General features: G+C 39.0%; 1 protein-coding gene across 1 annotated transcript in view; it reads left to right on the forward strand.

Moving 5' to 3' along the window:
- Positions 1 to 24,269, forward strand: part of PDE6C (phosphodiesterase 6C) — a 53,474-nt gene that overhangs the window by 23,527 nt on the left and 5,678 nt on the right. Inside the window, exons 11-18 of the mRNA NM_006204.4 lie at positions 932 to 1,000; positions 4,007 to 4,153; positions 4,387 to 4,494; positions 4,857 to 4,966; positions 9,897 to 9,984; positions 19,697 to 19,797; positions 22,838 to 22,945; positions 23,041 to 23,104. Of these exons, the coding sequence (NP_006195.3) occupies positions 932 to 1,000; positions 4,007 to 4,153; positions 4,387 to 4,494; positions 4,857 to 4,966; positions 9,897 to 9,984; positions 19,697 to 19,797; positions 22,838 to 22,945; positions 23,041 to 23,104 (795 nt within the window). The remainder of the gene's footprint in view (positions 1 to 931; positions 1,001 to 4,006; positions 4,154 to 4,386; positions 4,495 to 4,856; positions 4,967 to 9,896; positions 9,985 to 19,696; positions 19,798 to 22,837; positions 22,946 to 23,040; positions 23,105 to 24,269) is intronic.

A 24,269-nucleotide genomic window follows, 5' to 3' on the forward strand; every position in this document is an offset into this window, starting at 1 on the left:
TATGAATTTGGTTTGCTCTATGTGTCTCTCATCCTTCTTGGACCAGGAGCTACCTGATAGATGTCCTTCTCACAAAGATGACAGAAGTGCAAGAGAGCAAACCTAACTGTGCAGGCATACTTCAGGTTTTTGCTCACATCACATTCACCAAAATGCTCATTGGCCAAAGAAAGCCACATCACGAAGACCAACCTTATAGATGATGGGGGAGCAAGTGGATATTTGCTAACCATGTTCTAATCACCACAAAATGAAGGGAAAATATCATGTGCCCACCATCTCTATTTCTTTTATTTCCCTGGCTTTGTGTGTGTGTGTGTGTGTGTGTGTGTGTGTGTGTGTGTAGTTTTGCTGGAGTGGGTTGGTTTTGGTGAGCATGTTGGTTTTTGGTTTTGCCGAGTGGTTTGAGTGTAATTCAGTTTGATAGTTTGAGATGTTAAAGATGAGAAGATCTGGGGGTAATAAAAGGAACTGTGATAAGCTAATACAAAAATAAATGTAAGCCACTCATTTTTTCTTTCCTACATGCAAACAACCCACACCTCTTTAAAAAAACCAGCTACTGTAATCATTTTGGGGGAATTTTAAAAATCAAATATATTAGATTATTTCTTGAAAAAAGTCTTCATAATCAGGTGCTATAGGTCTTTGTATCCATGACAAAGAATGCATCTTTGCCATGGAACTCATTGTAGTATATTTTATTTATTTACTTATTTTTAGAGATGGGGTCTCACTCTCTCACCTAGGCTGGATTACAGTGGTGCCATCATAGCTCACTGCATCTTCCAACTCCTGGGCTCCAGGGATCTTCCCGCCTCTTCCTCCCACATATTTTAAATATATCTTAACTAAGATTGTAATAGTAGAGGAATCAGATGGAAATCTTCTCCTTTAGGAATTTCACACCTCAATTGCTTTTACATTTTAGAAATTTCAAGAGAAGTTAAATGTTGATGTAATTGACGACTGTGAAGAAAAACAACTTGTTGCAATTTTGGTAAGTGTTTTCTTTCTAACCTTAATGCCTGTTAAATAGAGGCATTATAAATCAATAATATATTAGGACATGCTTTCTTGTTTTTCAAGTAAATGTTGAGTTTTCTCTTTCCTGATATTTCTCAAGGCTAAAAAGAAAGAATTCTTCTAAAGATTGATCTTTTGATTCCCTGCTTTTCTTCATCTTTGTCGCCTCTGGTCCAATTCATACAGATAATTTACAATTGTAGGTAGCCTAGACTACTGCTTAGGGGACTTCAGGCACAGAATCTAGGGATATCAAGGCACAGTTTATTTTAATAGCTTTGGATGACACCATGGCCACCACAGAGAACATGACAGAGTTAGCGTGGAGCATGGATCTTTCTAGGCACTGGCACCGCCTGCCATTTCTAGCTTCTCTTCTGGAGTCTGAAGGCTCCATTCTTTCGTGTTGTTGCCAGTAGGCCATCCCTATTATTTTTCTTTGAAATTAACTTTCCCACTTCACTAATTCTGTCTTTTGTTGTGCCCGATCAACTGTTAAACTCGCTCAATAAGTTCGTAATTTCAGAGATTTTTTTCAGTTCTAGAAGGTACATTTAATTCTTTTGTTAAGATTCTAACTCTGTGTTAAAACTTTTCATCATTTGATCTATTTTGACTATTTTCCCCTGTATTTTCATAAATGTATTGATGTGTATTATTTTAAGGTACCCATCTTAATACCAGAATCACCTGTAGATCTGATTCTACTGTTTATTTTTACACCTGGGTTCTAGTCATTTGATCCTGTTTTAAAGCATGCCTTATGCTTTTAAAATAAAAAATCAGATATTGTAGATAAAAACGTGTAGGGGCTCTGAGTGATATTATCCTTCTGCAAAGAGCATTAGAGTTTCTTCTGGCAGGTGAGAGAATTGTTTTAGATTTCATTTGGAATGATCTTTTTTGGCTTTATTCCTACTATTAGGGTGGAGCCCTTGTTTCTAGAAAGTGGCTCCTCTGGAATCCATGAAATCCTGGGATATTTACGAAGACCCCAAGACCTTGAATTTCAGAGGATTGAATTCCTTCTGATTGAAATGGAAATATCACACTTAATTTCCTTACTAACTGCTATAACCTGTTTTCCACCATCTCTTTCCGATCTGTGATGTGAGCATTCTTTCTAAACTAAGACACATCGACTATCTCACCTTCTCCCTTTCCATCTTTTGTGGGCTCTGTCCTCCCACCCAGGGCCTTTGCTCTGCTACCATAAGACTGTTGGTCTTTGACCCTTTTTTGGGGCTTACTTCCCACCCCCGTGTTTTCATGTCATCTGAGGTTCCCTTTTCTCCCATTTTGCTTGGCTCCACCTTTGGCACCATCCTCTCAGCCTGGCCCAGAAGACCACCCTTTCTTCTCCCCACCTGCCCTCAACAATAGGCATCTTCTTGGAAAACAAAACTTTTATTGACATCCGTGTCACCAGAAATTCTCTAATTTCTTATTTAAAGGAAGAAGGATCTTATGTTGTAGAAGCAATAAAGTGGACAAAGAACCAGTAGACTTCCTAAAAAACCAGCCTATTTTGAATGTAAAATCTACTCAGGGCAAATCCCAAATCATTGTTGCATAAAATTGAGGAACGTAACAAATATTTCAGAGGAGTTCTCCAAAATTATCCTGGCATCATTTCCCAGCTACGTAATTATTTGTCCATCTTCACGTACCTGAGTCTCTCTCCAGGCCTGCACTTTCATGTTACCTCCAGGGAAGGCTCAGCTGATTTTCTGGGTGTAGCAACAGTTCTGTGCAAGAGTGTGAGGGGTCAGCCCAGGCTCAGGGGCTGGGGGAACCAGAAACCGTAATTTTGTTTTAAATAGCTATATACCATTCGGTGTTGAAATCTGTGTAAATAGAGCATGGCTGTCCCCTGAAAAACATTAAACTTACTAAGGGGAGTGACCTCCCTTTCCCTATGTTTGTGTCCTCCTCAGTGCACTAGTAAGGACATACTACACATTCAAATAAATACCCATTGAACTGAATCTCTCCTGCAGATCTGTCTGGTAGGCCCACATAGTTGTTGCTCATTTCTGCCTCTTAGCACTTTCTCACCCACATGGAATCGTCTCTCCGCTTCCTTCTGCCAGCTCAGCTGCATGCATGTCCCTCCAGCATCTCTCCTCCTTTAATTTCCCCACCTGTCCAAGGACATTCAGTTTCTCCCTCGGCATGGAGCACTGGCCATACTCTCTGATTATTCTAAGTGCTTACTTTTCACTCGTATATATTTTATAGCCACTTTAATAAGTTAAGTTCCTTAAGGGCAAGATACATATTTTTATTTCTCAAGTCGCACCAATGCCATGTGTCTACTTGGCTATTTTTTCACATAATCCGAAATCCTAACCAGATGTGAGTTAAATGAAATGTCTGCAAGTATACCTATGTACTGCAGGGCAATCATTGGTTTATCCATCCACTCATTCATTCAACAGGCATTTCCTGAGCACCTTCATGGGACAGGACCTGCAGATTTGGGATATGGCAGCAAATAAGCAGATGATCCCCACCCTCGGGGAGCTCACATTCTAGTGGGAAACTGTCACTGAGCACATAAAGAAAATTCAAGAGAATTGAATTAAGCAGTCGTTTACTGTTTACTGAATATTTCTTGAACAGAAAAAAAGTTGAGTATCAAAAATGAGTAAGGCTTTTGTAACTAAACATTTTATTTTGCATCATTGAAAGAAAAGAGCTACTGGAGTTGGATTTAGAATGGTAACCCATCACTTAGAAAGTCTTTAATATGGCCAAGTCTCAGTTTCATCACCTGTAAAATGGAGATAATCGTGTAGGCCTGCCGTTAGCATAATCTGTGCAAACTGCATCATCCAGTGCCTGGCACATGGTGGTTCAGTGAATCACACATTGTGTTCTTTTATTGTAATTTTGGTTTACACCCAATGTTGGCTATGGGAGTGGAAAGGGAAAACAGATGAATGTAATCTGAAACAACCCATCCTTATTTCAACAGAAAGAGGACTTGCCAGACCCACGCTCAGCAGAACTGTACGAATTCCGCTTCAGTGACTTCCCCCTTACAGAGCACGGATTGATTAAATGTGGAATACGACTGTTTTTTGAAATAAATGTGGTGGAGAAATTCAAAGTACCTGTAGAGGTCAGAGGGTATTTAATTTAAAATACTGTGTGATTCTGTGGCTCTGCTTCACTGATGTTTTCTGTGGTTCAAAAGATGGACTCAGTTTGAATTTTAAATTATTATTAACTTTCTAAATACATCAGCTTAACCCCTATCTACAAGACCAACACATCTTTTTAGATAAGATTGCCACAGACCTTCTAACCTTTAGAATTCTATTCCAAAGTCTGAATGGTGTCATCTTCTTTTAGGTTCTTACCAGATGGATGTACACTGTGAGGAAAGGGTACCGAGCTGTCACTTACCACAATTGGCGGCATGGGTTCAACGTGGGGCAGACCATGTTTACTTTGCTGATGGTAGGTACAGAGGGCTGTAAATCCTTGTAAACCTGCAGATTTCCCATTTGAGCATGATGAGAAATAGGTATGGTCCATCATTTTAGATCAGTAATTTAAAAATTCAGGGCACAAACCCCTCTCCGCTGCAGATGAGTCCCAGTATCCTTGAGCACCGGTGGGATGATCATTCAGACATTCACACACTTACCTTCTTAAAGGAAGGTTCAGTCTTCACCCACAGTACTACAATACTCACAACAAATAAAGTGAACTTGCTCCAGAAACCTAGTGGGCCTATTCTCTATTGCAGGCTGCACTTGGTATAGAGGTATATTAATTCAAATAAATTATAGATATGCATATATATGTTATTTTTTTAGACAGGAAGATTAAAGAAGTACTACACAGATCTCGAAGCCTTTGCCATGCTTGCTGCTGCTTTCTGCCATGATATTGACCACAGAGGCACCAATAATTTGTACCAGATGAAGTAAGTGAACACATGTCCAATGTTGACACGTATTGGTGGACATTGGAAAGTACTTAGGGTGAGAAAAACGCTTCTCCCTATTCCTTGGCCCAGTCAATGCCTCTTTGCCATGTTGGAAATTCCAGGGCTGGATTCTATTCCCTCCCAAGCTTCCGCCTTCACGATAACGTTGCTCTTTCTCCCTAGGTTCTTGCGTCCCCCTTTCCTTTCTGTTTTCATTTCCAGATGTGCCTCTGCCTTCTTCCTATAGGCCTTCAGGCTTTCTTCTCTCAACTTTGTTTAATCAGAGTATTGAATTCCTATATTAAAGTGCATGAATCTGGCTGGGCACAGTGGCTCGCACCTGAAATCCCAGCACTTTGGGAGAGTGAGGCGGGCGGATCAAGTGAGGTCAGTTCAAGACCAACCTGGCCAACATGGTGAAACCCTGTCTCTACTAAAAGTACAAAAATTAGTCGGATGTGGCACACCTGGGATTATAGGCACATGTCTATAGGAGGTAGACGTGTGCCTCTGAGGTAGGAGAAACACTTGAACCCAGGAGGCAGAGGTTGTAGTGAGCCAAGATTGCACTACTGCACTCCAGCTGGAGCGACAAAGAGAGACTCTGTCTCGAAAAAAATTAAAAATAAAAAACAAGTACATAAGGTACATGAATGTTAGGCTTACACTTGTACACTCCTATGGAGCACTCCCCAGCTCAGGCTAGAGAATACTACCCCTGGGCTCACTACCCTTCACCTCCCTGGTCTTTTTGCTTCTGCCAAACTCTCCTTCAGCTGGTCTTCCATCTTAACATCGATGCCATCTTTCTCTCTTGCCCCAAGAAAGGAAGTACAATAAGAAGGGTGCAAGCTCTGGGCTCAGGCAGATTTGGATTCACTGGGTCACAAATTATTTAAACTTTCTAAGCCTCAATTTCCTCATCTGGGAAGTAAGAATTATAGTAATGGTACCCAGCACATAAGGTTGTTGTAAAGATTAAATATGATCATGCATATAAAGCCCTCAACTCATGGTAGGATCTTGGCAGTTAATAAATATTAGGTATGATTGCTGGGTGCGGTGGCTCACGCCTATAATCCCAGCACTTTGGGAGGCTGAGGAGGGCAGATCACGAGGTCAGGAGTTGGACACCAGCCTTGCCAACATGGTGAAACCCCATCTTTACTAGAAATACAAAAATTAGCCGGACATTGTGGCGTGCACCTGCAGTCTCAGCTACTTGAGAGGGTGAGGCAGGATAATTGTTTGAACCCAGGAGGCAGAGGTTGAAGTGAGCTGAGGTCACGCCACTGCACTCCAGCCTGGGTGACAGAGCAAGACTCAGTCTCGGAAAATAAATAAATAAATAAACTTCAGGTATTATTATGGTTACTATTATTGTTGTGATGTCATTGGACTATTCATTCACCAGTATTGCTCATGGCCAGCCCAGTTCCTTGATAATGGGTTTTAAGATGGTCTATCTGCCTTAGCCACACTTCATTCTCATTTCTGACACATGAACTACCCCTCTCCAGAAGTAGTGAAGTGTTGTAGACAGACTGAATGGGCTTTGGAGTCTTGGGTTTGTGGGGACCAACTACTTCTTGGTTGGGGGATCTTGGACAAGTCATTTAATCTATTTGAGATTCAGTTTCTTAGCCATGAGATGTATAAAGTGTTGACCTCTCAAAGATTGTTGTGAGAATCCAGTGAAATTACATATGTGAAACCTACTTGAGAAAGTGCCTGCTAGGCAGGTTTCACATATATAATTTCATTGAGCGAAAAGCACTTTGTAAGCAGTGACTCCTCATCTTCAGCAATTCTACCTATTATTAGGCTTTGTCTTGAAAAGATGATCTCCATCCAGACTTGAGGCAAGAGACATCTTCATCTCAAAGGTTCCAGCCTACACTGGCCGCTCGCTCCTCCAGAATGCAAGTCCCCTGACAGTCACTGAAGTCCTCGTCCTCCTTCTTGATCAGTAGTATACTAGCCAATTCAGTTCCAGAGAAACAAATTGAGCATCTATTGTGTGCTAGTAAGGACTTGATACCTACTGCCTCATTTAACCTTCACAGCACAGTGAAGGGAGGTGCCATATAGGAGGTACTAGTATCCCCCACTTTAACTGATGAGCTCAAAAGATGAAGTTAAACCTTCCCTAGGTTATAGGAAGTAGCAGGATTGAAGTTGCCATCTTGCCTCCAGGTTTGCAGGAAAGATGCATGCAGCCACACCCTGCCCTCTGCATTGGCCTGGTTTTCTTTCATCATTCCTCCTCTGTAAACTCAACTGTATGGGCATGTGGTGATGGAAGGGCTTCCTGACTGCAGACTGTCAGTGTGTGTGAATGTCTGTGTGTGTATATAAATAATATATATATTTTTTGGAGACAGGGTCTTACCCTGTCACCCAGGGACTGCAGTGGCATGATCACAGCTCACTGCAGCCTTGACCTCTGGGGCCCAAGCAATCCTCTCACCTCAGCCTCCCAAGTAGCTGGGACTACAGGTGTATGCTACCATGCCTGGCTAACTTTTAAATTGTTTTTGTAGAGACAGGGCCTCCCTATGTTGCCCAGGCTGGTGTTGAACTCCTGGGCTCAAGCAATCCTCCTGCCTCAGCCTCCCAAGGTGCTGGGATTACAGGCCTGAGCTACTGTATGTGGCCAACTAATTCTTTTTTTTTTTTTTCACTAAATCATTTGTGAGTCAGCTGCAATACTAGATTTCATTCCTAAATATTGCAGCATATATTTATTAAGAATTAGGAGGACATTCACCTACATAAACACAATACAATGATCACCCTCAGTATTGGTACAATAATATTACCTAATATAAAGTGTTTTTTAAAAATTTTCCAATTACCACAATAATGTCCTTTATAGCTATTTTTTCCTTCTAATTCAAGATCTAATCAAGGAGCACACTTTGCATTTAGTTGTCAAATATCTTTAATCTCCTTTAATCTGGAGTAGTTGCTCAACCTTTTTGTGTGTTTCAGGATGTTGATGTTTTTGAAGAGTCTAGGCCAACTATTTTGCAGAATATCTTTCAATTTGGATTTAACCACTTGTTTCCTGATTAATAAATTCAGACTAAACATTTTTTTGGCAGGAATACTACATAGATGATGCTGTGTCCTTCTCAATGCATTGTGTCAAGAAGCCCATGATATCAATTTTATTTATGGGCGATGTCCAGAAGATCTCTTTATGTAAAGGAACATTTTCTCCTTTGCAATTAATAAGTAATACGTGAAACGTTAGTTTGAGATCAGATTAATATCTAGCTTCCCAATAACATTTTTTAACTAATGTTTTTAAACCTAAAGGAATTAAAGATACCACTCCTTTCTGACTAGAATTGAGCTTTTTCATTTTTAAAAATATACATTTTAAATTGCTACATAATAGATATACATACTTTTGGGGTACATGATATTTTGATACATTCATATGATGTGCAATAGTCAAATCAGGATAATTGAGATATCCATCACCTTGAACATTTATGATTTCTTTATGCTGGGAATATTCAAATTATTCTTTACTAGCTATTTTGAAATAACAATGGATTGTTGTTTGCTATAGTTACTCTGTTAATTTATTGAACAGTAGGTCTTATTTCTTCTACCTACCTGTATATTTGTACCCATTAATCAACCTGTCTTCATCCTTCCCACCTCCCTACCCTTCCTGGCCTCTGATAACCACCAAACTACTCTCTATCTTCAAATAAAGAAAATGTGGTGCGTGTATATATATATATATAGTATATATATAGTATGTATATAGTACTATATATATACTATATATAGTACATATATATAGTGTATATATATAGTACATATACAGTATATTTATATAGTATATATAGTATATATACACTATATCGATATAGTATATATATAATGGAATATTATTCAGCCACCAAAATAATGAAATCTTGTCATTTGCAGCAATATGGATGGAACTGGAGATTATTTTGTTAAGTGAAATAAGCCAGGCACAGAGAGTCAAATATCACATGTTCTCACTCATATATGGAGGCTTCAAAAGTGGATCTCAGAAGATAGAAAGCAGTTTGGTGGTTATAGAAACTGGGATTTACTCATTTTTTTAAAAATCTCTAATGCCAACACAGAGTAGTTGTTTAAATATGTGTTAAAATTATGATCGATTGTAATATTGATCAGATATGGCCTAATTATTCCCCAACTAAAGTATTTGCTTTCCCTGACCTGCCAGTAACCTGGCAATGACCTCTCCCAGCCTAAAGTTTTGTTCTCCATGAAATAAATAAAGCTTCTCTACTAAGGCTACCAGCCATGTTTTTTATTTCTTCTTTCTTTAAAATTATTTATTCTATATTTTCATGAGAGTCTTCACATAATCTCTAGACCTTTGACATCAGCCTCTTTTACCCTGAAGGCATTGAAGAAAAACAGGGTACAAAAGACTGGGGCCCCTACTTATATAAAGCTGTGATCTAATTGTTAATAAATGGGAAGGAACAGGGAGATACATTTATCTCACTGTCTTGGGGGAGGAGAGAAATGTTACCTTATAGTGCTTTTCATCTTGGTTCTATGCAGATAACCTATGGGCCTCCACATGTTTGCTATATGTTTTATAAGTCATAGTCCACCGCCATAAGCCCCAGGGAACTTAAAGAATTTAGATACAAGGAGCTGAACTCCTTAGTTTAAACAATTAAATCATTTATGCATTCAACAAATTAAGGTTTTTTTTTTCCAAAAGAGCATATTCTCATCTTCTAAATCTAGAAAATCTTTTCCAATATGTTATTTTTGACCACTTCACAGATAATTGAGTGAGGAGGGAGAAGAGAGACATTAAGAAAAATCCTGAATTGTATGAACCTATGTGTAATTTTTAAACAGCTAGAATCATGGCATGTTGTTTTCCTTCTAGATCCACGTCTCCATTAGCAAGACTTCATGGTTCTTCTATTTTGGAGAGGCACCACCTGGAGTACAGTAAGACTCTGTTGCAGGATGAGGTACGTAAACCTCTCTTTAGGACAGCTAAACACAAATTCTGGATCAAAGCACTAACCCACAGAAAATGCTTGGAAAAAGGGTGGCCTTGAGTTACAGCAGTTGATAGTGTATACCCTTGTTGAAGTCAATTGATAGAAATTGCTATATTGAACTAGTTTTTGAACAGCCAAGTTGGAAGTAGCTGAGACAGGTGAAGAGAGCCATGGAAAGTCACAGAATCTCTGTGGGTCTGTAGGGAAAGAAGAAAAAGCTTATGGTGGATGCAAAAGGGCTCCGTGCACCCCAAGCATATGTAAATGTAAAGAGGAAAGGAGGCTACATGGTCACTGATTTGCTTATTCATTCATGGGGCATATGCTTTAGAGCATGGTCTATGCCTTTAAGAAAGTCAAGCTTTCATAGTGGAGTGTATTCACACATTCTTGCATTGCTATAAAGAAATACCTGAGACTGGGTAATTATAAAGAAAATAGGTTTAATTCACTCCCGGTTCTGCAGGCTGTACAGGAAGCACGGCAGCATCAACCTCTGGGCAGGCCTCAAGGAGCCTACAATCATGGTGGAAGCTGAAGGGGGAGCGAGCACTTCATATGGCCAGAGCAGAAGGAAGAGAGATGCGGGGGAGGTACCACACACTTTTAAATAACCAGATCTCATGAGAATTCACTCAGTATCATGACCAAGGAGGATGGGGCTAAACCATTCATAAGAAACACTGCTCGCAAAATCCAATCACCTCCCACCAGGACCCACTTCCAACATTGGGGATTACAACTGAACATGGGGTTTGGGTGGAGACACAGATCCAAACTATATCATGGAGGTAGGCATGACGTAGCCACCATCAGAGAGGCACTGAGCCATGCTCTGAGAGTTCCAAAGGGAGAAACCACATTTGTGTGAAGACAGTGGCAGCGGAAAGGGGCAAAGAGGGTGGGATCAGAGATGGCTTTCTGCAGGAGCGGCTCAGCCCCTTGAATTCATTGTGAATTGCACATATTACGTACTACTAATCTTCCAGAGAGGGTAGTCATTCTTCTTCCCTTGATCAATTTTATTGAAGGGATATATGGGCCTGTGGAAAGTTGTGGATGTTGTCTAATTATACTTTCTTAAGAACGTTCCAAACCAAAAATGATTAAGGTGAGTCATTAGATTGAGGGGAGCACTGTTTTGTCGCAGGCAGTGAACTTGTTCAGAATCACATGCTTCATTAGGATACATGAGCCCTCTGGAGAGTGGGCTTTTCTCACTTTCAATAATAATCTTTTATTAAAAGCTCAGGGAGAATATACAGAAAGATATCCAAGTTTAGAGAGAATACTAAATTCTTCTAGGTAATGAAAATCCAAGATGGTCCTCATAAGCCAAGCAGGAAAATCTCATAAGGCAGAGCAACTGGGCAGAAAAATGGAAAAAGAAGAAAACTGCTTGCGTTGTTTTAACAGTCTGTGATTGACACAGCACCCAACACCATTGCCATCCCAGACCTGCTGTGGCATTTCTAATTCCGCTATGCTCTTGGCAAAGCACTAACCTCATATAAGTCCAGATGGTGGTTCTCAGACATGGGTACCTGGACCAACTCTTTCAGACTCATTAATTTAACAGGGCGGGGGCAGACAGGCTGTTAAGGCACAGATCCTGGGCCCCATTCTCCACTTACTGACCAGACTCTCTGGAGTTTGGGCCTGGGAATCTGTATTTTGAACCAGAACCCTTTTAATTCTGATATGCAGACAGAATCTCTCCCTGCAGCAGAATTCACAGCATAGGTAACACCTGTTCTATGAGAATTAAAAGAAGGAGCGGAACTGAAAATAACTCAGGAATGTAAGAGTAAATTGTTATTACCTAATTTGTTATAAGTCTTTATTTTGCTGGTTGAGACAATCTTTGGTTTCTGAGTAAGAATTTTCTGTAAATCCCACTGTTTATATGATACCACAGTGAGGTAGCATCAAATGTCATGTATCGCATAATCATACAGTCACCTACTAAAACAAAATACTGTTTTAAAACAGCTGCCAAATATCTACATGCTTAACACTGGAAGGCTCCTAGTTTCTTAAATGTTTTTCCTTCTGGGATTTGGCAGTTTAGAGTTACAGTTTTCCATCTGAATTTTTTTTAATGTTATTTACTTTGCAGTCTGAACTGGCTTTGATGGCTATATAAAGACTTATTATTCTTTCTAAAAAGGAATATTGCATCTCAGTAATCTATACCATCTTTTCAAGGACCTCTCTGTAATACCATTCAACCTGCTAATTGCAGACTTTTAAAGCCTTGTCAATAGAGTCGCTAGGCAATGCAGTCACACAGAGCCTGTTTATGAGCAGTCAAATTGGACACACACACAAAAAGATTGTTACCTATCAGATATTCTTTTTACATTTTGGGGAGACAATGTAGTTCTTGTATTTTTTTCATTCTCTAAAGAAAATACACACATTAAAAATTTTAATTTTTTTAAATAAGGGAAATCCTTGGGATTTATCCAGTAATTTCAGCATCTGTGGGCATTACTCAGACATTTTGTTTTGCATATTATAAGGCTTTGAACGGCAATGTCCTTCTATCCTAGCAGAGATGGATTCACTGCTTTGAGGAATAGAACTGCCTGTACTCTAAACCAGACAGAAATCAATGCTTTAACCCAAATGAATGAGTGGAAAACTTGTTAGCCAAATTTGCACAAGTATAAATTTTAATACTAGAATATACTGTAGAAATGACAAAACATATTGCTCAGCATAAATAACAAAATCTTGTTATTATTCAGAACATCTCTTTCCAAAGCGTATGATAATTTTATTTATGCTTTTTCATATCAACCGCATCAGCCTGCCCCATTTTACACATAGAAATGTGAAGGAGAAATCAAATACCTTGTGTACTGGCACTAGCAAGGCAAGAACATGTTGGCAATATTCTCTTGCGGGCGTCATAGGCACCATGCTGAAGACTAGAACGGCCTGTACTTTCCCTGGCCTCAGCTAGCTCGAGAGCCACGATCTGAATGAATTAAAGCCATTTCTACCTGTTTGGGGTGTGCTATGCAGAATTCATAGTTCTATCGCCATTTTAATAGTCAGGGAAAATAAAAAAGATTCTTTCCGTGAGCAAATGAAAGCAGCTGAGCAAGTCAGGGCCCGTGGCCAGAGGCTGGGAAGTAGGTCTCCTTTCTTGTCTAGTGCACCTGTCTCCACAAAATGTCTTCAACACAATGCTCGAAAACAAATGGAATATTACATATTTATACATGTATTCAATGTTCATTAATAGTTGCAAAAGTTACATAAGCCCACTATAAAAATTCAAACGATAGGAAAACATCAAAGACAAATATTTCTTAAATTGCTTCAAATCCTACCATCCAGAAACCGATATTTCATTAACGTCTAATGAACCTCATTGCAGTCACCCTGTGGATATACACAGGAAGCATGGAGAGAAAGGACTCCATGTGTTCCCACTACCCAAGCTATTTTTTTAAGCCAGAGTTGGTTTTTAATCAACTTCATTGAAGTATATATACAATAAACTGCATCTCTTATTTTATTTTATTTTTGAGACGGAGTCTCATCCTGTTGCCCAGGCTGGAGTACAGTGGCGTGATCTCAACTCACTGCAACCTCCGCCTCCTGGGTTCAAGAGATTCTCACACCTCAGCCTCCCAAGTAGCTAGGATTATAGGCATGCACCACCACTCCCGGTTAATTTTTGTATTTTTAGTAGAGGCAGGGTTTCACCATGTTGGCCAGGCTGGTCTCGAACCCCCAACCTCAGGTGATCCACCCACCTTGGCCTCCCAAAGTGCTGGGATTACAGGTGTGAGCCACCATGCCTAGCCTAAACTGCATCTCTAGAGTGCCCAATTCCATGAGTTTTGACTATTTTATATACCTGGGAAACCAGCACCACAATCAAGATGCAGAACACTTCTATCATCCAAGTAATTGCTCATATCATGACCCTTCACAGCACATCCCACTGTCCACTCCCAGCCCTAGGCGGCAACCTTTGAAATGTTTTCAGTTGCTATGGATTAGTTTACATTTTCTAGATTTTATATAAGTGCAATCACACAATTAGCACAATAATAGAATAATCATGCAATCAATCACACTCTTTTGCATTGGTTTCTTTCACGCAAAATAATAATTTTTAGATTACTCATGTTGTGTATATCCATGATTCATTCCTTTTTTTAGAGATGGGGTCTTGCTCTGTTGCCAAGACTGGAGTGCTGTGGCACTGTTATAGCTGTCTGCAGCCTCAACCTCCTGGGCTCAAGCAAACCTCCTACCTCTGCCTCCCAAGTAGCTGGGACTACAGACATGAGTCTCTATACCTGGCTAATGTTTTGTATTTTTTGTAGAAATGCATTCTTGCTGTGTTGCTTAGGCTGGTCTTGAACTCCTGAGCTGAAGCAATCCTCTCTCCTTGGCTTTCCAAAGCACTGGGATTACAGGTGTGAGTCACTGTGCCCAGTCAATTCATTTTTTTTCATTGCTAAGTAGAATCCCTTTATCTTAAATAAAAGGTATTGCATTTGACTTTATTTGAATTTAACAGAAGAAATGTTTTTGAAATGGAAAGAATTGCAGAACTTCACATGATGGTGTCCTTATCACAAGAAATGTTAGCTCTTAAAGAGCCCTCTAAAATGAATAACAAATGACTATGAAAAATTATGAAAAGTTGTAGCTGAGCATTTAGATGTTTGACATTTTTAAGCTATATGTGTTAACTTTACAGTATCTACTAACTCCCTTCTATGAAATATGAAGGAATTGGTATACTTTTTCCCACATGTCTGTTTTATATGATATATTTTTTTACCATTATCAATATTTATAAAATTACATTTTGCTCTGTAATTTCCACTATTGTTTATTTTAATTCAACTTTTAATTGAGTCCAGTACTTATTGACTCTACATTTTCATATAAATTTTATAATTGATTTGTCAATTTACAAACACACATACACAAACTTGTTGGTATTTTGGTTGGAATTCTACTCGCTCTATGGATTATTTTATGTTCTTGTGGTCATTATATGCATAGGTTTTGCACTTGTTCCCCTCTGAAAATTACTCATCCCTGAGTGGAGCCAACTATCTGCCTAGTACCATGGAAGAAGGGCAGGAATGAGCTGGGGAAATCCTCAGCTTCCAATTTGTTGACTCAAACATTCTCTCACCAATTCTAAGGAGCACACCTGTATTAGTCTGTTTTCACACTGCTGTAAAGCTACTACCTGAGACTGGGTAATTATAAAGAAAAGAGGTTTAATTGACTCACAGTTCTGCACTGCTGGGGAGGCCTCAGGAAACTTACAATCATGGCTGAAGGAGAAGGGGAAGCAAGGCATGTCTTACATGGTGGCAGGCAAGAGTGTGTGAGAAAGAGTGAGGAAGTGGCACACTTAAAACCATCAACTCTTGTGAGAACTCCCTCACTATCATGAGAACAGCGTGGGAGAACTGCCCCCATGATTGAATCACCTCCTTCCAGGTTCCTCCCTCAACACCTGGGGATTACAATTCGAGATGAGATTTGGGTGGGGACACAGAGCCATATCAACACCTCTTTGATTTTGTTTTCCGGAAGTTGGTAAAGCTCACACTGAGCAAAGCCCATGAAGCTCCAGGCCTTCTATTTGGGATCTGGCCATTGCTGTCTGCCTTCCCTCCTTCACTTCTTGTTACCTATGACAATGTCTTTGGTCTAGGAGATTGAATATCAGAAGTCAATACAAATGTACATCAGCATAACTTCTCCATCAACTCCTCTTTTGCTGTTGTTTTGTGTTGTCAAAGTAGGTCTTGAAAGGAATTCCTTGCTTCTCCTGTGCGCTGGGCACATCTTGAGACCTCTTGCTCTAATTAAAGAATCACTGAGTCTGTGTTTACTTACTAAACAAACAAAAAACCCAACTTGTGTGCAAGTGTGTGTGTGCATGTGTGTGTGTGTGTGCCTGTGTGTGTGTATGTCCCACTTTGTTCCAAAGAGGATTTGATGGAGCTTCGAAGAATACATACAACACTAAAGAAAAAGAAAATGAGGACTAATGGAAAAATAAGAAAAACGAGGTGAGCATAGTAAAGGCCATACATACCCAAAATGTATATCAGAGATGGGCCACAAATTTGGCCAAAACGTTTATCAGACACAGGCCACAAATTTGGCCAAGTGCTTTCTAGCAACTAATACAAAAACTGGAATGGGATCTTTTATATGAATCTATATCCACAACTTAATAAGTCAATTAGAAGCTCTTCTTTCAAGAACCTCAGGTGTGAAAGGGAGAACAGAGAAAATCTAAAAGAATGTAGAATTAAGAAAGAGTTTTTCAATTAGGAGGCTTGTACATGTTTTTAGATAAAAATGAAAATGAGTGAGAAGAAAAAGGTATGAATGAAATGCAGATATGTAGTGCTATATGCAAAAGAAGCAGTACTGAAATGGTGACTATAAACCCTTTTTCTTCATTATATCAATTTTTAAAAATCCAGTATTGACTCATTTTGAAAAGTAAGATAGTTTTTGATAATCTATCAACTTTAATACAGTTGTTTTATTATTTTGGATTGGAAAAAGGTATAAGAGTAAACAGTATTTGTCACATATGTTTCTATATATTTCTTTATATATAGCGTTTTCTTTCACGTCTATTAAATAGCAACAAGTGTCCAGGTTTACATTAAGCAATATGCACTAAAACAATTGGTGCATAATAAATTTGATGTATTTGATTTGTTGTAGATTATATACTCTGCACAATCTGACACTTGGTAGAGACGAGGAAGTCTCTGTCCCAAGGAATTATTTCTCTGAATTCAGCAGTCTGATTTGCTTCTTTAAATGACTTAATGTGCTATAAATATTAACTTGTCTAAAAGTTTAAGGCATTTTCACACATTCCTCCCCTCCCCCTGCTTTTTTTCCTAGTATAGCAATCAAGGTTGGCTTCAAATATTATTAATTTGCCAAGTATGTATCTGAGTCACATAATAAACATCACTTTGGGAACATAGCAATGTTCATCAGTGAACAAATAAAGGCAGTGATTCCCTGATGTCAGTATGCCACTGGATCACCCCAAGTCCAAAAGGAAGGCCACCATTGTTCCAAAATCAGGGGCAGGTTAAGTGGGATCAAAATGACTCCACTTACTTTTCCCCTCCCTGGTAATCCAGACCAGGTTGAAAATAACCTGTATCCAGATTTGATTCAGAGATTCTGGACTGATATGTACAATAGACTTCTGTGAAATGTCCCAAGTAAGAAATTGATTCGGGGTCCAGGCACGGTGGCTCATGCCTGTAATCCCAGCACTTTGGGAGGCCGAGATGGGCGGATCCCTTGAGGTCAGGAGTTTGAGACTAGCCTGGCTAACATGGTGAAAACCCATCTCTACTAAAAAATACAAAAATTAGCTGGGCATGGTGGTGGGTGCCTGTAATCCCAGCTATTTGGGAGGCTGAGGCAGGAGAATCGCTTGAACCCAGGAGGCAGAGGCTGAAGTGAGCTGAGATTGTGCCACTGCACTCCAGCCTGGGCAACAGAGTGAGACTCCATCTCAAAAAAAAACAAAAACAAAAACAAAAACAAAAACAAAAAAAAACATTGATTTTGATCCAGATAATCTCTCTTTTGTTTTTGTAATTTAGACTGGTCAACACCCATTGCTTCATTCTAGCTATTTTAAAAGTTTAACTATAGTTGCTATGATGAACTCATTATGTTGACAAAACAAATCACAATTTTCCCTTCTATTACTTATATATGCTTTGTAAAACACCACTTTTCTTGTCCTAGAAAATGTTATAAAAAGATGACTTAAGGGAAGATTTATATAAGGCATAGTGTAGTGTCTAAAACTTGAGTTCTTGTCCAATTATTGCTTTCTAATATTTCAATCTTCTGAAATGACTGAGCCATATTTGGTCTTAGGTTTGCAATTCTATTTCTACCAGGAGCTAGCCTCATAACTTTACGTAATAATAATAATGATACAACAATAAATTTTAACAGCGATTTACAGTTTTAAAATGCATTCACAGTTGTCATTTCATTTGATTCAGCATTCCACAGATATTAATTGAGCATAGACTAAGTGCTAGGCAGTTAGGCAGGGCAGCTGTTATTATGCCCATATGAGAAAACAAATACAGATGTTAAGTGAAGTCTCTAGGATTATACCACTGCCAAAGTGGGGAAGCCAGGAAATGAACCTGGGTTCCCTCTTGAGAGGTAATGTAGTGTGGTGCAGAGATTAGGAGCACAGACTCTGGAACCATGCTGCACTGGCTTAGACACCAGTTCTGCCACATTCTAGCTGTTTAACCTCGGGCAAGTTACTTCACCTCTCTGTGCTGGGGTCTGTTGTGAAGAGATTAAGAATATTCACAAAGCACTTAGAGCCTGGTAGGTAGTAAGAACTAAGTAAGTGTTTACTGTTATTATTTGGTGTTCAGGACAGTATTGTTTTTGGCATTATGCTACTTCTCTCTTTATATAGTTTGATAGACTATCTCCTCTTTCTTTCCAGTGGAGTTTTTCTGTATTTTGTAACTGTCAAATTCATTTGGCAAAATCACTATCTATCTGTCATTTGGCCTGTATGACTAAAATGGTCTATTTGGAATAACTGGGCTTTAAGAAACCACCCCCAGCTTATATACTCATTTTCTTTCTTTCTTTCTTTCTTTCTTTCTTTCTTTCTTTCTTTCTTTCTTTCTTTCTTTCTTTTTTTTTTTTTTTGAAACAGGGTCTCTCTCTGTCACCCAAGCTGGAGTGCAATGGCACAGTCTCAGTTCACTGCAACCTCCAGTCCCCAGCGTTAAGCAATCCTACCACCTTGGCCTCCTGAGTAGGTGGGACCCCAGGCACATACCACCACACCCAGCTATTTTTGTATTTCCATATTTTTAGTAGAGACAGGAGTCTCACCATGTTGCCCAGGCTGGTCTTGAACTCCTGAGCTCAAGCCATCTACCCACCTCCGCCTCCCAAAGTGCTACAAGCATGAGCCACCATGCTCGGCCTATATTCTCATTTTCTAGAATGCTAAGAAATGAAGCTGATCCTTATGTGAAGAGATGTAGTGAGAAACTCTTTGAAGAAAGGTCTAGTTAAGTCTTGGTAAAATAGAATTGCATGAAAACATTTTCAGGATAATGTGGAAGGATTTCATTATTTTTTCCTACATATACACGAATATGAGTGTAATTTGCAATTTCTGAAAGACCAGTGGTTTCTATGATCACTCTAAAATTACCTGGTAGATAAAGTAACATGTCTGACAGTTGGACTTCTCCCAGAAATTCTTTATTAAAGCTTCTCAATTAATACAAGCACATTTTTAATCTATTGTTATTTATTTTAATGGTCCTAGAAGAAAACATTTATTTACTCCAAAAAGTTAAACACTGATTACATGAATATTGGCTAACAGTATCTATTTTTATAGTTTAAATTAAATTATCTTACTTAAAGTATAGTAGAGGGGTTTGCTTAGTCCATGAGATAAAAACTAAAAGCAAGCCAAAAAAAAAAAAAAAAAAGGAAGGAAAACAAAAAAAAAACAAACAAAAAAGTGTTGAAAGACTTTTAGATTTTCTTCTTGTTAAGCATAGTTTCATTTGTTCAGAGGCAAATTATTGATAGCATTTTATTGTGAATTTTCATCTTACAGAGTTTAAACATCTTCCAGAACCTAAATAAGCGGCAGTTTGAAACAGTTATTCATTTGTTCGAGGTCGCAATAATAGCAACTGACCTGGCTTTATATTTCAAGTAAGTACATAACTCTGCACAGTGGAATGCCCTATACTCTGTGTGGTTTTACCTTCCATAAATTATCTGTTGCATTAATGTTAAAAGGCATTTATTCACACACATACACACACACAGACACACACACACACATACACACAAAATTTGCTCTCCTTTTGGATTACCAAGTAGAGTATCTTCAAGACAGATGCCTGCCAGTAAATTTACTAGACCTCTGGGAACATATTTTAAAAACATAAGCTCCTAATATTAAGTAGGTTGCTCTCCGAACAGGTTTGAATTGCAGAATGTGCAGCCAAGTTTGTGCCTTGTCAAAAGAGTGAAGCCAAGAGACCTCTCAAGGTGGCTTTTTGTCCAGGTGAATTCTCTATGGTCCAGAATCTGGCATTTTAATGTTTCAGCCTCAGAAATTTAATTCTGTCAAAGTCTGGGAGCTGAACAATTTTGATGGCATTGACACACATTAACCAAACTTACAAAACTGAGTCATACGTAACAGAGAGCCAGCCTATTTACAACAGTAATATTGCCAAGGAGACCAGATACTCCCAGTATCTCCACATTTTCTCATAAGTGAACTATAAAGTTGCTTGATGAAAATGGGTTAGAACAAGATGAACTAGTTATAGGATGGAAATATTCAGTGGCTTGGGCATTGTCAAATTATGCCTTTCTGATCCTTCACTAAATATTTATTTATTATTTATTATTATTATTATATGTATTATTATACAGGTCTCACTCTGTCACCTGGGCTGGAGTGCAGTGGCACAACCTCGGGTCACTGCAATCTCGGCCTCCAAGGTTCAAGCGATTCTCCTGCCTCAGCCTCCTGAGTAGCTGGGACTTCAGTCTCCCACCACCACATCTGGCTAATTTTTATATTTTTAGTAGAGATGGGTTTCACCATGTTGGCCAGGCTGGTCTTGAACTCCCGACCTCAACTGATCTGCCCACCTGGCCCTCCCAAAGTGCTGGGATTACAGGTGTGAGCCGTTGCACTGGGCCTGAATATTTAATTATTAAATAGTTCAATGTGAAGACAAATACTAAGAATAATAAAATGGATATCCAAATATCTATAGCCTAAATTTAACAAATGCGAAATTTTGCCATATTTGCCTCAGATTTTGCTTTATAAGGAGAAAAAAACTAGTGATGCAATTGAGGTATTCCACCCCTACTCCACTATGAAAAATCCCTTCCCTTCTTCCACAAAGATATCACCGTCTGACGTTGATGTGTATTCATAATTTCCATCCATGTTTTTATATGGTATTGTTGTGTGTTGTTTTTTTTGTTTGGTTTCTTGGTTTTTTTGCGACGGAGTCTCACTCTGTCACCAGGCTGGAGTGCAGTGGCGCAATCTCGGCTCACTGTAATCTCTGCCTCCTGGGTTCAAGTGATTCTTCTGCCTCAGCCTCCAGAGTAGCTAGGACTACAGGCACACGTCACCACGCCTGGCTAATTTTTTTTTTTTTTTTTTTTTTTTTTTTGTATTTTAGTAGAGATGGGGTTTCACCATGTTGGCCAGGATGGTCTCTCTATCTCCTGACCTCGTGATCCACCCACCTTGGCCTCCCAAAATGCTGGGATTAGAGGCGTGAGCCACCTCGCCCAACCTGTTGTGTGTTTTCAAATTGTCCATAGGTGGTATCATACTGTCTGTACATACCTTTCTGCAACTTGCTTTATTCATGCAACATTGTGTTTCAAAGATTTATCATTGATAATAAATGGAGCTCCAATGCATCCATTTTAACTGAATAGAGTATTCAACTGTTGAATATTCATAATTAATTTACCCAGTCTTCTATTCATAGACATTTCAATTGTTTCTAATTTTTCATCATTGCCTACAATGCTACCTTGTATGTCCCTGTATATATATATGAGAGTTTCTCTAAGAAATGTAAAAGTGACAATGCTGTAGGATTTGCATGTCTTCAATTTCATGCTACATTACAAAACTGCACTCCTGAGAAGTTGTGCCAGTTAGCACTCCCACACACAGTGTGCAAGAGTTCCAGCTGAGTGAGGTGGCTCATGCCTGTAATCTCAGCACTTTGGGAGGCCAAGGCAGGAGGATCACTTGAGGCCAGGAATTTGAGACCAGCCTGGGCAACATAGCAAGACTGTCTCTACAAAAAAATTAAAAAATTAGCCAGGCATGCTGGAGCATGCCTGTAGTCCCACCTACTCGGTAGGCTGAAGTGGGAGGATCCCTTAAGCCTAGGAGTTCAAGGTTCCAGTGAGCTAGGATCAAGCTATTTCACTCCAGCCTGAGTGGTAGAGCAAGATTCTGTCTCAAAAAAAAAAAAAAAAAAAAAAAGAAAAAGAAAAAGAAAAGAAAGAAAGAAAGAAAGAAAAAGAAAAATACCACATCTGAAGTACTCTTGAACTCAGCAAATTGAAATTTTATTTTGCTAATATAATGAGTGTGAGATAATATCTTATTGTTCAAATTTGTAGTTTCTTGATTAGTAGTGAGACCAGCTGGACATCCGTGTGTTTTGGGTTCCAACTTTTTGTTGGCTATATGTGTTGTGATATCTTATCATAGTTTGGGGCCTTTATTTTTAGGTTATGGTCTCTTTTCTCATATGTAATTTTGTATTTACTTTCATTTTTAAAGAGACAGGGTCTTGCTTTGTTGCCCAGGCTGGTTTAAAACTCCCGGCTTCAAGCAATCCTCCCACCTTAGTCTCCCAAAGTGCTGGGATTATAGATGTGAGCCACTGCACCCGGCCTTATATGTAACTTTTTCGTTGTAATGTATTCCAAGTTACCTGTTTTGTTTTGTTTTTCCCTCTCTCTCTCTCTCTCTCTCTGTATGGTTTGTGCTTTTTCTGCCTTAAACCCTTTCTGAGCCAAAGTTATACCACCATTCTCTGCTCTCGTATTTTCTGGCCCTGTAGACTTTGCTATGTGGACATCACAATGCAAAGTGGGAACGTGAAATCTGAAAAGCATGTATTTAAGATATTTTTTCTCTCTTTTCATAAGCTAAAATTGTTGCTCACAGCTGTATCTTTTCTAGGAAGAGGACCATGTTTCAAAAAATTGTTGATGCCTGTGAACAAATGCAAACGGAAGAAGAAGCCATCAAATATGTAACTGTTGATCCAACCAAGAAAGAGATTATCATGTAGGTAGTTGAAATTGTATTTCTCTCTTGTTTTTTGTAAAAATAACTTATTTTGTACTTATTTCTATTTTAAAATTTTTTGTTTTCTTCCTAAGGGCAATGATGATGACGGCATGTGACTTGTCTGCTATTACCAAGCCCTGGGAGGTGCAAAGTCAGGTGAGTCCAGTTAAGTTTTCTTTTCTGTCACACTGTCAGGTACTGCCTAGGTCCCATGTAAATGTCCACCTAAAGATCTCAGGCAACCTCAGAATTCTGAAAAATTACAAATATTAGTGAGACAGTAGGCAATTTGATTAGGCCCTAGAATAAAGCAAATAGAAGGAACTTTGGAAGGAGAATTCTTTCTTGAAAGAATTCTTTAACATTGAAACACTGTAAATAATTTATATAAAATTATCCAAGAAATGTCTGAGTTTTTAAATAGAGGAGTGTATTAGCCTGTTCTCATGCTGCTGCTAATAAAGACATACCCGAGACTGGGTAATTTATAAAGGAAAGAGGTTTAATGAACTCACAGTTCCACATGGCTGGGGAGGCCTCACAATCATGGTGGAAGATGAAGGAAGAGCAAAGGGATGTCTTATGTGGTGGCAGGCAAGAGAGAGCGTGTGCAGGGGAACTCCCCTTTATAAAACCATCAGATCTTGTGAGACTTACTTAATATCACTAGAACAGCACGGGAAAGATTTGTCCCCATGATCCAATTACCTCCCACTGGGTCACTCCCATGAATTGGGAATTATGGGAACTACAATTCAAGATGAGATTTGTGTGGGGACATAGCCAAACTATATCAATGAGGTAAGTCAGAACAAGATCAGGATGCATCGTTAGTGTTTTCCTCTATCAAGGGTGTTTTTGCTCCTATAGTCTCTTCTTCAATGTGCTGTGAATTATAAGAAGGCACTGACTGTGAGATGATGTCTAAGGTTGCCTTCCACTGAAGTTCTTCCCCCACCTTGGGGAGGCACTAGTCTACCACTTGCTTTCTTACTAATTGGATGAAAAAACCTTCCTTTTTCCTCCAGTAATTTCTAGGGAAACCCCTAAGCAGAAGAGAGCCCAGAATTAAATGGGTTTAACTATAAAAGTGGGTTGTATCTTTTTAAAAAGATAGAATAATTAGAACTCAGTGTAGGGGAGAAAAAATATCTATTTCTCACCCATCCTAGCTTCATGACTGAGGCCCCTATAACAAAAGACAGATTAACAAGAGAAAAGCGTACACGTTTATTTGTTTTACATGTAATACAGGAGCCTTCGTGAGGAAACAAAGACCCTAAGAAACAGTTAAACTTGTATGTTTTATGCTAGGTTGGAT

Source organism: Homo sapiens, chromosome 10, assembly GCF_000001405.40.
Source record: "Homo sapiens chromosome 10, GRCh38.p14 Primary Assembly".
NCBI lineage: Eukaryota > Metazoa > Chordata > Mammalia > Primates > Hominidae > Homo > Homo sapiens.